At 44.4% G+C, this 14,033-nt stretch overlaps 1 protein-coding gene and 1 long non-coding RNA gene across 2 annotated transcripts in view, besides 1 other annotated feature; one reads left to right on the plus strand and one right to left on the minus strand.

Moving 5' to 3' along the window:
• Nucleotides 1-14,033, plus strand: part of ITGA9 (integrin subunit alpha 9) — a 371,367-nt gene that overhangs the window by 309,605 nt on the left and 47,729 nt on the right. The gene's annotated exons all lie outside the window — the stretch shown is intronic.
• ITGA9-AS1 (ITGA9 antisense RNA 1) overlaps nucleotides 1-14,033 on the minus strand; it is a 108,092-nt gene that overhangs the window by 8,057 nt on the left and 86,002 nt on the right. The gene's annotated exons all lie outside the window — the stretch shown is intronic.
• Nucleotides 2,763-5,844: an enhancer, noted in NCBI's record as "VISTA enhancer hs1961". NCBI's record gives its function as "enhancer in: neural tube[11/14]" and the evidence as "EXISTENCE:transgenic organism evidence [ECO:0001131][PMID:17130149]".

The following is a 14,033-nucleotide window of genomic DNA, read 5'->3' on the forward strand; positions in this document are numbered from 1 at the left end:
CGCAGGTCACAGAGACCCCGCTGATAAAGCAGGATGTGGTAAAGAAGCCAGCTGAAGACAGCCAGAATCAAGATGGTGACACTAATGATAATTCACCAGCACCATGACAATTTACAGATGCCATGGCAACTCCTAGAAGTTACTCTGTATGCTCTAAAAACAGAAGGAACCCTGGGTTCTGAGAATTCGCAGCCCCTCTCCTGTAAAACTCATGAATAATCCACTCCTTTTTTAGCATTTAATCAAGAAATAACCATTAAAATAGGCAAGCAGCAGCCCTTGGGGCTGTGTTACCTATGGGGTAACCACCTTTTATTTCTTTACTTTCTTAATAAACTTGCTTTCACTTTACTCTCTGGGCTTCCTCTTGAATTCTTTCCTTTAGGAAGCCAAAACCCACCGGCCCTCCCAGGCCAAACCCCAATTTGGGGGTTCATCCTGCCACAACTGTACAGTGTGGGGTCAAGGGGAACCCTTGGTCTTTTTCACTGAAAAATCAACTCAGAAAAGGCAGATTAATAGGAGAAAAGGCACACAGATTTATTTAACTTGTATACAGGGGAGGCTTCAGAATGAAGACCCAATCCCCTGGTAAGGTACAGAAGCTTATATACCATCTTGAGGTTATAGAAAGAATGCAGGCTCAGAGCATGACCACAACCAGGTTTTAATGGCAAGACATGTCATGGGGGAGAGAAAGAAGGAGGCTTGGCTAGCAAAGGTGGCATTGTTATGTAGATGAAGCCTTCCAGGTCATAACTCCTAGAGAGAATAGATGGTGAATTTCTTTTCAGACTTGTAAAGGTGTCAGACTCAATCTGTCCTAGATCTGGGAAAGGCCTGGAAAGAGAAGGGCTGGCTGCATTCAAGGAGATTCTCTACAGGTGCAAAATTTCCCCACAAGAGACAGTTTTGCAAGGCCACTTCTGTCTGCTGGCCCAGCAGCAGCCATTTCAAACGATGTCAAAGAAATCTATTTTGGGATAAAACATTTTGATTTCCTTTAGCCACTTGCAGGGTCTTGCGCCATCCTTTTGTCTGGGTGCGTAGCTGTCCAGCAGCTCTAGCACTACCTGGAAGTTGAGGCATGGTCATGCAGAACTAAGGCCCCACCCAGGCCTGCTGAGTCAGAGCCTTCACTTCAGCAAGATCCCCAGGGATTCCTTTGTCTGTTCATATTTAAGAAGCCCTGGTCTAAAGCATGAGACTTAAATCTCTGCTCTCCCATTTTCTTATCTGTAAAATGGTGATGACAGTCCTCACCACAAGAGGCTGTTGTGGGGATATTTTTATACACATGTTCATTCTTTCAACAAATACTTTGCGCCCAGCATATGCTAAGCACCTAGTGCAGAGAGGAAAACAGACAAAAAGTAATTTCCAGCCATCATGTAGCTTACATTCTGGTGGGGAAAGAGTAATAAGTAAAGCATATAGTTTATTACATGATGGTAAATGCTCTGGAGAAAAATTTAAAAAGCAAGAGGATAGGGATTGGGAAAGGCTGTAATTTTAAACGGAGTGGTCAGGGACAGTTTCACGGAGACCTTTATTCAGAAGTTGCAGGGACCAAAGCTATCTTACGGGAGTTTGCAATGAGAATTTCTTTGCCCATGGAGTCCTTGCCAAGTCTATGTCTTTTCTGAGAATTCTCTCCCCCTTGATTTCAGCCCTGTTTGATTTCTGACCTTTGAAATGCCAGCCCCCATGCTGCCGTTGTGTGGGGTTCCGACTGGACATCCAGAAGTCTCCGTGTGTGTTCTCATTAGCTTTCACTCTGGGGGAGTTTTCTGCCACAATGTGAATCACTTATTTTGCTGGCAGCAGCAGTTGACAGTGACACTGATTTTTAAAGCCTGCACATTTCACATCAGAAAAGTCCTGGATTTTATGACTTAGCTATGCTTAGAGGATAATTGCAACAAGAAGTCTCCCCTGCAGCCAGCTTATTGGAGCTGAGACTTGTATAAGAGCCAGACCTGGCACTTTAAACAGCCCAGCAAATAACCCAAAACAAAAATGAACAATGCACATTTTTATCTATGCTGCTCTTCCCCATCATGAACACATGCTTCTTTTTTTCCTCGCCTTCACCCTCAATTTTTTTTGTGGAAATTCAATGGTTGACTGTACCAAGCCAGCTCTCTGGGTGAGAGGTTCCTTCTAACAAGGATTAGAAACCCCTCTCATGTAGGAAGAGGTGGATTTGGGGGATTATATGATCCAACCCTCTACCTTTGGACAGAATACAATCGAGATGTCTCCCCAGTACACAGAACTGCTTTTCCAGCAAGTTCTCTTTGTTAAGCCATTCTGGTATCCCTCAAATCCCTTGTTATGACTATCCACAATTCTCCATGCCCCATGACCCTTTCTTAGCTAAAATGAAAAATAATTGCCTAGTTCCCTCATGTAGAGAAGTTGAGCTATTACCTTGACTTCCCCCTTCTCTTCCAAAAAAGATTACAATTCCTTTAATTTTCTTTCCCATCCTAGGGTGTCCTCTTTGCTCTCTCCATATTCTCCAAATAAAAATTCAAAACTGAGCAGCAAATCCTGTGCCTCTTCATCCAACCCCTCCTCATCATGAATCATTATCACTCAGGAAGTAAGGACCTGGTTTACTATCTGAGAACTTTAGTCCTAATAATTTCTCTACACCAACTTCTAGTCCTAATAATTTATCCGTATAATGCTCAGAAACACTCCGAGATTCTCAGTAAAAAAAAAAAAAAAAAAAAAAAAATCAAGGAAATCTTAATGGCCAAAGCCATAGGTCCAAAACCCGGCGTTCCCTCCCACCCAACTTTCCAGGCCATTTTCTCCAATAGCCCCTCATCCCTGACCTTGTCTTCCAGCCTCCCTGGACCATGAATGCTGCTGAAGGCTCTCACTTTGTACTTCCCTGGGCCCCCTGCCCTTGCTAGTGACTTCTCCTCCCCTCTGGCTGTGGAAAGCTACTCATTCTTCAAGACCCAGTTCATATGTCCTCTCTGTCAAGGCTTCCCAGATGCCTTCACAGATGGCCCTGCCTCAGGGCCTTTGCACCTGCCTTTGCTGAGAACACTGTTCCCTCCAATCTTTGCATAGCTGGCTCCTTCTTATTATGCAGATCTGAGCCCAGAGTTCACTTTCTCAATAAGTCTTCCCTGAACACTTTACCTAAAGTTGCAAACCCCCATTACTCTCTATCTCATTTGTATGTTGTTTTCTTCATAGCACTTGTCACTATGTGAAATTACTCTCTTATCATCAGTCTTCTTCCACCAGATTAAAAACACCATGAGAGTAAAGGGCAAGGTCCTTATTTTCTGTGTATTTGCAGCATTTGGTGCCGAGACCATAGTGAGTGGTGAGACAAATGAAAGAAATGGCTGCTTCCACTCTGTTAGTGGCATCCTCAGACACACAGTCACCCCTTGTATCTCCTGGGGATTGGCTCCAGGACATCCCCCCATCTCTACTTGAGATCGCCCAGTAGGAATATTTTGAACAAATTCCTTTAACCCATGGCAGAGGTTGCCTTAATTTCAATGTGAGAATAAGAAGGTGAAATTTTGAAATAAGAGATTGAATTACTTATCAGAAACGAAAGCTTCTTAGAGCAAATTTAAACTCTACAAACTTTGGTCAGGGATTTGAACACATATTTCCTTCCCCCTCAGTTTCTCTCACACAGACACTGCTGATCTCAGTAATGGCCCTAAACTTTCTTTTCTTTTTCTTTTGCATTTTCTTCTTTCTGCACATGTATGAATGCAAGCTGAATAGTCAAGTTCCTGAAATGGGTCAGGATTAGGTTTGCCTTAAATCTTTTTCTCAACAGAAGCCAAACACTTAAAAGAAGGGAGATGGCTGATTGAATTCTGGAACAAAAGTTACATTCCTAGGCTCTTGGTTAATTTGAGCTTGGCTAGAGGGAGAAAGCGTGTGTGTTTCTGTGCACAAGTTACACTCAACACACACCCTCTGGAAGGTGGGGGTAAGCTTCAGTCCCGGCTGTCCGTACAGAGTGTGGTTCAGAGGCTGCCCTTTAACCTGTGTGGCCAGAGAGAATAAATCAAGCCAGCAGTGCTGTCTCCCTGCTGACTGAAGGCGCCCGGCCTTATCAAGGAGCCCAAATGTCTTGTGCTCACAGCTGCTGTGACATCTGGAAGCATTAACACTTTGTTGCCAGCATGTAGGCTAGTTGAATGCCGATGCGTAGGTGCCTGGTGTTTTCTGGTCTGCTACATGAATAGGCGTCAAAAGTTGGTGGTGAGGAGTTTGCTTACGTTCATTCCTTAAAAGCAACATGACACAGAGCCTTGCCATGGCAGGGGTGATGGGTTGTTACCAAAGTCGATAACAGGAAATCTCACTGAGGATAAACAGGGCTCATCGGCCATTGCCGAGAAACACATGGTTCTCATTTAACCTGCCAAGGACTAATTGTGTATGCTTCGGAAGCGCAAAAACAGGAAAACGCTTTTCTGACATACACCCCAAGTTTCTTCAGACCAAAAAGAACTGCCTCAATGTTGTTAGACGCTGAGAAGTAATGATCTCCCCAGCTGTCAGGGAGCCAACCTCACTTACTTCTCTTTAATCTAAACTTATGACCTAAAGCATATTTCAGGCCTCCCATGAAGTCCTTGAAACTTGAGACTTAATGAAGGACACTGAGGTTTCACTTTTCACTGCTCTGGTGTATGTACTCTCAGAAAAGCAGTGGAAGAGGTTAGATAGATGGTGATGTAGGAATCATGGCATCCAGAAAATGAGTGTGATTTACCCTTTGATAAAAGGGAACTAATAAAGCAATATATGCAGGAAATGCAGAGACAACCCAGTGAATAGGTGTGCTGCTTTAGCCTTTAAGGGAAGATGGGTCTGAGCTTCATTCTTTACCTTAAGATGGGTCCAAGAGCTAGAACCAGAATTTAAACAAGCAGATACAATTCCAAGGACCATGTTTTGTCTCATATGGGGGCTATTCACTCATTTATTACCCAAATCAACAGACCATTCTGCTTCCAAAATATTTCATTATCTGTGGAAGGAAAACATTTTTGGTATGCATGTCAAGTGCTCAGATAACATATTTATGTATCGCTTTTTCACTAAAGAGAATCTGACGGCATCTGGAAATTCTTTTGTGTCACTGCCTCTCTCAGACTACTTCCCATCTGTATCGCTTTAACTCCAATAAAAGGCCATCCCCATGCCTGGGAAATGGGCTTTGTCTGGGGAACTTGTCTTTCTCTGATTACATGTAAATTAATTAAAGCCCATCCCGTTTTACAGGGCAGCCTGGTGGTGGTGGCCTGCACTCTTGACTTTCCAGCATGTTGGCCTGTCACACGCAAAGGAAGAGGGAGGAGGGGAGGATGCAGGGGCATTGTTTTAGCCAAACCCTAAAGCTGATGGAAATGAAATCCACTGGCTTTTATCATGAGAAGTGAAATTGTTCATGAAATAATGGCAGCCTCATACAGAGGCTGTGCATTGGATTATACTCAACCTTTCCTCTGAAACGTTGGTCTGGAGGCTTTGCCCCTTTATTTTCAGTTTCAGATTTGATCTCAGTAACACCCTGACCTTTTCAGACTCCATACCACTTTTCACAGGGATGACTGCCTTAAGGGATGGGGAAAGGGTTAGAGAAAGCAAGTATTTTATTTAGAAGACAGTTTTCAGTTAGAAAGGGAGAAGACATCTAGAGTTAAAGTTACGATCTTTTCCTTTCTGTGCTTAAGTGATACTAGGTCATTCTTTAACTTCTTGCTCCACCTGCTCTATCCCCAGCTCTGCAGGTTTGGAGTGGGCTGTCATGTGATTTTGTTTACCCGTTTCGGTTCAAAGACAGAACTCTTTATTTGAACACTGAAGCTAGCAGGGACTGTCCAAAGCCAGAGCCCCTCATATTAGCCTAGCTTATGTTGTTGTGATCATCAGACTGTTTCTGTTTTTTGGATTTTTGTCCTTAAATAAACACCTTGGAACCACTAGCTACACAGAGGGGTAAATATCAGAAAATCCAAATTTGGTGCACTAATGAACACGGGGTCTCTTTTCACAAAGCAAAAGACCATCATTCTTCAGAAGGATCTCCCAAAGAATGCCATTGAAAACTCCTCATTACCTTCAAATGGGGTGATGCACACACGAGTAGCATGAAATTAGCCATGTTCATATTAAGGAGCAATCTAAGATCATTATTGCTGTTTCTCTGGCCTTATATTAAATAGTGTCATTGCAATTGAAAAATTAGAGTAAATGAACAGAGCCTGTGAGCATCCACCCTTTGTAGGTTATCCTGAGTCTGCATTATTACAGGGTCTTGAAATGAATGGTGATACGTGAAAGTATTTGTCCTAGGATTCATTAATATTATTATATTTTAGTCTTTGGTCAATATGAAGAAATACTCAATAGTAAATCATAGCAACATGATTTAACATGAGATATAATTTGAAGGGCTCTTTAAGGCTGCTAAGCAACCATGAATCATGGTTTGCATTTTTCTAGATGGATAATATGAAGCTATCTTATTTATCTTTCTAGAACTAGACACCTTAGGTCAGGCTAATCAACCAGCTGGTATCATTTCTCAGTTATTGTATGACTACTATCTTTATTTCAAACCCTGAAGTCCTAAAATTAATGTCACCACAGCCATTGTAGTATGTGTTCAGCCGCCTGTGCCGGAATAGGGGCTTACTGTCTTTTGATGCCTTGGTTCTCAGAGTAGGCAATGGGTAATTGAATTAGCAAAGTAGACATTCAAAACATTCTCTGAGTTTTCAAACTCAAGGAGCGTGTGACTTCAGAGAAGCAGGCGATAAGTCAGGGGGTGGGTCATGTTTACCCGGTTGCCGTCAGCTGCGATTGGTGTAATATGATATGGAAAAGTGGCCCAGGGATGTAACTGAGAACATAAAGTCAATGAATAACACAGAAACGTGAGTTAACAGGAAACACATGTTATTCTAAAATGAACCTAGGTCCCTTTTAACCCAAGCCAATTCAACAAACATAGCTTTTAGATCATACCTTTTAGGTTTTTTTTTTTTTACCCAAAAACCACACTGGGGATGACTCCAGCCGTGGCTCATGGGGAACACTACTGTCATTCAGTTTGTTCCTCTGCTAATTTAATCTTCCATTTTCCTTTGATTGGTGATGCACGCATTCAAGGGGCATCAAGCCATGGACACTTTGGTGACCCTCCCTATCCTTGGAACCCCAGCCAGCTGATGGGGTTCGTACTGGTAAAATGGCAAACTGGTAGAGGCATCTATGCTTCTGCCTGTTAAAAATATACTAATAGGCCAGGCGTGGTGGCTCACACCTGTAATCCCAGCATTTTGGGAGGCCGAGGTGGACGGATCATCTGAGGTCAGGAGTTTGAGACCAGCCTGACCAACATGGTGAAACCCCATCTCTACTAAAAATACAAAATTAGCCAGGCATGGTGGCACACACCCATCATCCCAGCTACTCGGGAGGCTGAGGCAGGAGAATCGCTTGAACCCGGAAGGCAGAGGTTGTGGTGAGCTGAGATTGCACCATTGCACTCCAGCCTGGGCAATAAGAGCAAAACTCTGTCTCAAAAAAAAAAAAAAAAAAGCTAAAAATATCACATACCAAAGCTGCAAATTATTTCTTTAATTTTGAGCGACGTTAATCCACATGATCTAAATCATACATTCTCACACATTCTCCTACTTCAAAGCTTTCCCTGGTTCCTATTACCTTCTGGGTAACTACCTCCACCCACGCCATGTGTAAGACTTGTCACATGCCCTCCTCTGTGTCCAGGCCCATCTCCCCTGCCTCAGTTCTGGCCACTGCTACCCAGCATTCATCCAGTGCTTGACCTGTGTTGAACTCCTTGGCTCTCTAGACTCCAGTCTCAAGTTTGCCCCTCTATGCTTTTGCACATGCTGTTCTCTTCCTGGAATTCCTTTCTCCCTCCTCCCTTTACTCCTGAGAAGTTTTCTTTATCCTTTGCGATCTACCTGCAATGCCACTTCCTCTGGGTCAGATATGAGAGGGGCTGACTTCCTGGTGGAGGGAGAAATTTGTAGACAAGATTTATAATCTCATTAGGAGCTGTGCTCTGAGGGGCTGCGAATGGATAAACAGTGAGGTGGTGGTCAGGTGGTGTTTGGGCTTCAGTATGTGGAATAGCTACTATGCAGCCTGGTGCAAGGAAGATGGAGTGGGACAGAGCATCCTGGTGGGGATTTTCGAGATGTGCTTCTCAGACATGACAGGTTACTTAACCTCTCTGGGCCTCAGTTTTCTCATCTGTAAAAAGGGGTGGAATTTAAGGAGAGCAGAAGTTAAAGCTTATCTGTCACATCCCTGATAAATGTCTCTGTGCTGCTGTTCTAGCTGGTTGAACCTCAAAAATGTCCCAGTTTAGACAATAAATTATATGGTCACCCTTCTGAGAGCAGTACCCTCCACACATGGGTGCCGTAAGGATTCAGCATATGCCGTTCTCTAACATACTAATAGCACCTAATATTGTATTATTTCCATTGATATCTGAACTCAGTATAGAGATGGGACCATAAGCGATTTCCCAGGATGATGTGCTTGGAGCATGACACTTAGAAAAAAGATCAGAGGACTTTTCTGCCTCTTCAGTGTTCAAACCCAGGCACAGGGACTGTGTTTGGCTGCTCTGTTTGGGGCCCTGTGGGAGGAAACCTGTGTCCTCTCTCTTGCTCTGAGTCAACAGACAACTCTTAGAAGTGCCTGACTGAGCCTACAACATGGAAATGCCATTTCCTCCAAGCCGTTTATCTGACCACCTCAGCCTGGAAAGTAACAGCTCTTGACTTCCCTTCTCCACCTGGGATCAGATGACGACAACATTTGAAACAAAGGGTCTGCTCTCTTTCTCAGTATCACACCTATGGAATCAGCCCTGATTCACACTTCAAACCCACTACTTCATGAAGCAAGGTCTTGCCAGATCCCCTAGAGTGAACAGGGGATTCTTTATCCTCTCACAGGCCTGGCACCGTGGTGGCTTCTGACCATGACAGCTCCTTTCACTGAGGCTGACCCAGACTCTGCCACCAAGTGATGGCCACTCCTTGGGCTCCCACAGCCAGGGTTCCTGACAGCTTCCCCAGTCACCACCATTTCATGGTTTCAGTTTGCACAATGTCCTCTTTGGGGTAAAGGGGAGGACAGATGCCAACAGAAAACCCTCAGTACCTGCCTTGGTAGAATACAGCCTTGTCACTGTGTCCTGCATCCTCCTTTCCTTGTTTGGGTGCCTGGTGAAGTCCTTTTGTTCAAATTCTAATAGCCATGGACCTCTGCCAGCTCCCAGAGGCCCTGAGAGATAAGCAGCCATGTCATGAGAAGCATTTGGACTCCGGTAGCCTGGGAAATAAATGAGGACTGACTGGGCAGAGAAGAGCAAGGGGGCGATGGCCACAGAGTCCTTAGCCAGCCAAGGAAATGACATTGTTGGTCATTGGCCGGGGATGCTTGGGTTGTCTGCAACACATGAAAAAAGCATCATGTCCCCTTGACTTTGAGCAAAGAGTGCGGTTAAAACCAAGTTGTGGGAGGATGGATAGTCAGTAATTGTTTATCTGTGTGATGAGATAAGGTAGTCCCCTGCTGTAATGAAAATGCACAGACAGTTCATGAAGTGAGGAATTAGCAACTAAGGACAACCTGAGTGACTACATGGGCCAACATCCTCATGTGTAGATGAGGAAACTGAGGCCCTGGAGACCCAAACTGGCACGGCTGTTAGCAGGCAGAGCTAGGGCTGAAGCCAGGACTATTGAGTATTCATCAAGAGCGTCTGTACCACAGAACTTCACTGGGGCCCGGACATGACCTTGGACAAGTCGCTGAACTCGGGGACCTCTGTTTCCTTATCTGTCAGCTGAGGCCACAAGGACTGCATGATCTCGCAGCTGCCTTCCAGAAACAACATTCCAGAATGCTCTGTTCCCCCCTTCCAGCCCAAGAGACTGTGCAGAATAGGCCTCTTCTCAGTCAGCAGGCACTTTTGTCTCCCATGGTCTAGGCAGGAGTCATTTTTTTTTGCTACAGTGGTGGAAATGGGTCAGGCTGGAGAATGCTGAGGTTTCCAGGCTAGTGGTTTCTTCCTCTGACCACAGTAAGAGGAAAGGAAGCTTTCCCTCCACCTCTACTCCTCTGTGACTCCTGCCCCAGCCCCATCCTCAGCTTCCACCTAAGAGGTAGTGCAGGAAAGTGGTGATAAGCAGATGTCTGCAGCTGTGTGACGTGTGTCCCAGCCCAGTTCTGTGGCCTGCTACCTGGGGAGCCTCTGGTTGTAATTGGGCCTCCTGTTGCCTCTCAGCTTGCCTCCATCTGTAAAATGGGGACAGTAGGCCAGGGGCTGTGGCTCACACCTGTAATCTCAACACTTTGGGAGGCCAAGGCAGGTGGATCTCCTGAGGTCAGGAGTTCAAGACCAGCCTGACCAATATGGTGAAACCCCATCTCTACTAAAAATCCAAAAAGCTTAGCCAGGCATGGTGGCGTGTGCCTGTAATTCCAGCTACTGGGGAGGGTGAGGCAGGAGAATTACTTGAACCCAGGAGGCAGAGGTTTCAGTGAGCCAAGATCGCACCACTGCACTACAGCCTGGGTAACAGAGCAAGACTCCATCTCAAAAAAAAAACAAAAATGTGGGGACAGTAATAGCACCTGCTTCAGGGAACTGCTGTGAGGACTGAATGTTAATGTGTGGAAAGCACCGAGAGCCTGGCGTGCAGTAAGGGCCATGCAAGTGTTAGGTGCCGTTGTCATGGCTGTCACATTGGTACCTGTTCAACACACTTAGAGGACCGCCTCCCTCCACCTTGATGACCCTTGGTAGGTACTGAGTTCCTGAGTTTTAGCTGAGGACTGAAGGTGTGACTGCAATAGGATTAGCTGGTCTGAATCAGACTTATGTAGCACCAGGCAACCTTCAATCTCCTTTTGAAAGGGGACCACCCTGAACCTTTCAGAAAAACGTTGCTTTCCCCGATTGAAGTGATTCCCATGTAACCACAGTCGGGAGCACAACTGGCCAAGATTTTCATTCACCGCAGACTCAGTCCTCATTTCCCCTTTCCAGATCCCACCAGGGGCAGATGAGGTGTCACATTGCATCACATCACGCCATCGCCATTACCCTGTTCACAGGCCACCCCAGAAACTCCCGGCGGGAGACAGAAACTAACTTCTGAGCTGTGACTCTGCCCCTTGGGGTTGACACTGAGGCTTAGGCTGTTTCTCACTCGCTTGCCCTGCCTTTCCCAGCTCCCTGCCCCTCTCCGCTGGCGTCTTGTGGCCAGATGACAGTGCTAGCTCTTCACACCTGAAGCACATTAGCAACACTGGCTGGGCTGGAGCTCTGCTCCCAAGCTTCCTCTCCCTGCCTAGAAACCTGAAGCACCGATGTGCAGAGCAAGGAGGAACTCTGCTCCCACGCCTGATTTTAATGAGGGATGGATGCATCCTGCAGGGCTCAGAGGTTCTGTTTCTCTAAACCCAGACCAAATGTGTTTGGGTGGCCAGGCCTCGTAATCTCAGCAGAGGAATGTGCATGCCACAGGGCTGCAGAAAACAGTTTCCAGCGGTCTGTCAGCAGATGTCCACTCCAGAAGACAGACAGGGAATTTGGAGACCTACAGGCTTTGGAGTGAAAAAGTGATGGATATTAAGAGCACAACTACACACATTCGGATTCTCAAACGCCCAATAAACATAAATATTTTCCATCCACAATGTACTATATATGCCTAAATATAGGGCAAGCCCCAAATAGCACATCCTCCATTTCCCTAATTAGATAAATTTAACTCTCTTTTTTTTTTTGCCAACTTAATAGGAATCAGAACTATGATTGCCTTTGAGGTGGGGGGAGTGGGCAGTGGGAATTGACTGGCAAGGGACTGGTGGGAACTTTCTGGAGTGAGAGACAAGTTCTGTACTTTCATGGGGGTGGTAGTTACTGGGTGACATAATTCATCAAACTGCACCCTTTAGATCTGTGGATTTTAATGCCTGTAAATTTACCTCAATAAAAAGAAGTTTGGAGAAATGAAGAAATAATCAACTATCTGTGTATAATGTTTAACTTAATCATGTGGTTGAATGCTTAAAATTTTATAAGAATGATATATTAATCTATAATACTCTTCATTCTTATGTTTCACACAATAATTTTATCCAAGTGTGCATCTTCTGAGATTGATGGGTTTCATTTCTAAGCCACATTTTTAGTCAGCAGTTTACCAGAATATATCATCTACAATTTGCCTAATTTAGTTGAAATGCAGAACTTCTTGAATCCATGTTGGTGCTGAAATTTGATTGGCACACACCAACGCCCACTTGCGTAGCACTGCAGCAGTTGTTTTCCTCATTTGTCTTGCAAGTGAATATTCATGCTGCTCCCCACATCAACAGCTTACGTATTGCTTTCTAAAATGGGCTTTCAAATATTTATTGCAACTTTCAACAATTGAACCCAAGGAATAATTACCAAATCTTCATTAAAGCTCATTGCCTCCTTCCCATTGTTTCCCTCTCGTGACCTCTAAAATCGTCCAGACCTGATGTTGATTGAGATCATTTCAGGCTAGTGTGTTTTCCCCAAATGTTGTCGTTCAAATAAAGTAATTGAGGCTGGGTGCAGTGGCTCATGCCTATAATCCCAGTGCTTTGGAAGGCCAAGACAGGCAGATTGCTTGAGCTAAGGAGTTCGAGACCAGCCTGGGTAATGTGGCAAAACTCTATCTCTACCAAAAAAAAAAAAAAGAAACCAGCAAAAAACAAAACAAAACAAAAACTAGCCATGTGTGGTGGCATGTGCCTATAGTCCCAGCTACTCAGGAGGCTGAGGAAGGAGGATCACCTGAGCCCAGGAGGTTGAAGCTGCAGTGAGCTGGACTACTGTACTTCAGCCTGGGAGACAGAGACCCTGTCTCCAAAAAAAAAACAAAAAACAAAAAACAAAATTTCCAAATTATTAGACACTTAAATTTTAAAGGACAGTAAGTCCCAAACTGTGAGAAACTTTTATAGGCAACATCCTCTTTTCTAATAGTTTAACTTGAGGATATAAACCTTCACCTTATTTATTTTCAGACATATATAGTAAATCCTGGAATGTATTCAGATCAAAGATAAAATAGAGATAAATTTAGCAAATTTTGGTGGTCTTGTTTTATAATTCACTATTAATAGATTAGCATTGTTAGCTTTAGTTTATTTGTGTAGCAAAAACTGACCAATAGAATCTAATTAAACTGAAGAGCTTCTACACAGCAAAAGAGACTATCAACAGAGTAAACAGACAACCTACAGAATGGAAGAAAATATTTGCAAACTATGCATCTGACGAAGGTCTGATCTCTGTCATCTATAAGGGACTTAAATTTGCAAGAATAAAACAACTCCATTAAAAGGAGGGCAAAGGACATGAACAGACACTTTTCTAAAGAAGACATACCTGCAGACAACAAGCATGTGAAAAACTCAGTATCACTGGTCATTACAGAAATGCAAATCAAAACCACGGTGAGATACCATCTCATACCAGTCAGAATGGCTATTATTAAAAAGTCAAAAATTGGCCTGGTGCGGTGGCTCATGCCTGTAATCCCAGCACTTTGGGAGGCCGAGGCGGGCGGATCATGAGGTCAGGAGATGGAGACCATCCTGGCTAACACGGTGAACCCCATATCTACTAAAAATACAAAAAAAAATTAGCCGGGCATGGTGGCAGGTGCCTGTTGTCCCAGCTACTCGGGAGGCTGAGGCAGGAGAATGGCTTGAACCCAGGAGGCGGAGCTTGCAGTGAGCCAAGATCGCGCCACTGCACTCCAGCCTGGGCAACAGTGAGCGACTCCATCTCAAAAAAAAAAAAAAAGCAAAAGTCAAAAATCAACAGATGATGGAGAGGTTTTGGAGAAAAGAGAATGCTTATACACTGTTGGTGGGAGTATAAATGTGCTCAACCATTGTGGAAAGCAGTGTGGCTATTCCTC

Source organism: Homo sapiens, chromosome 3 (genome assembly GCF_000001405.40).
Source record: "Homo sapiens chromosome 3, GRCh38.p14 Primary Assembly".
Classification (NCBI taxonomy): Eukaryota; Metazoa; Chordata; class Mammalia; order Primates; family Hominidae; genus Homo; species Homo sapiens.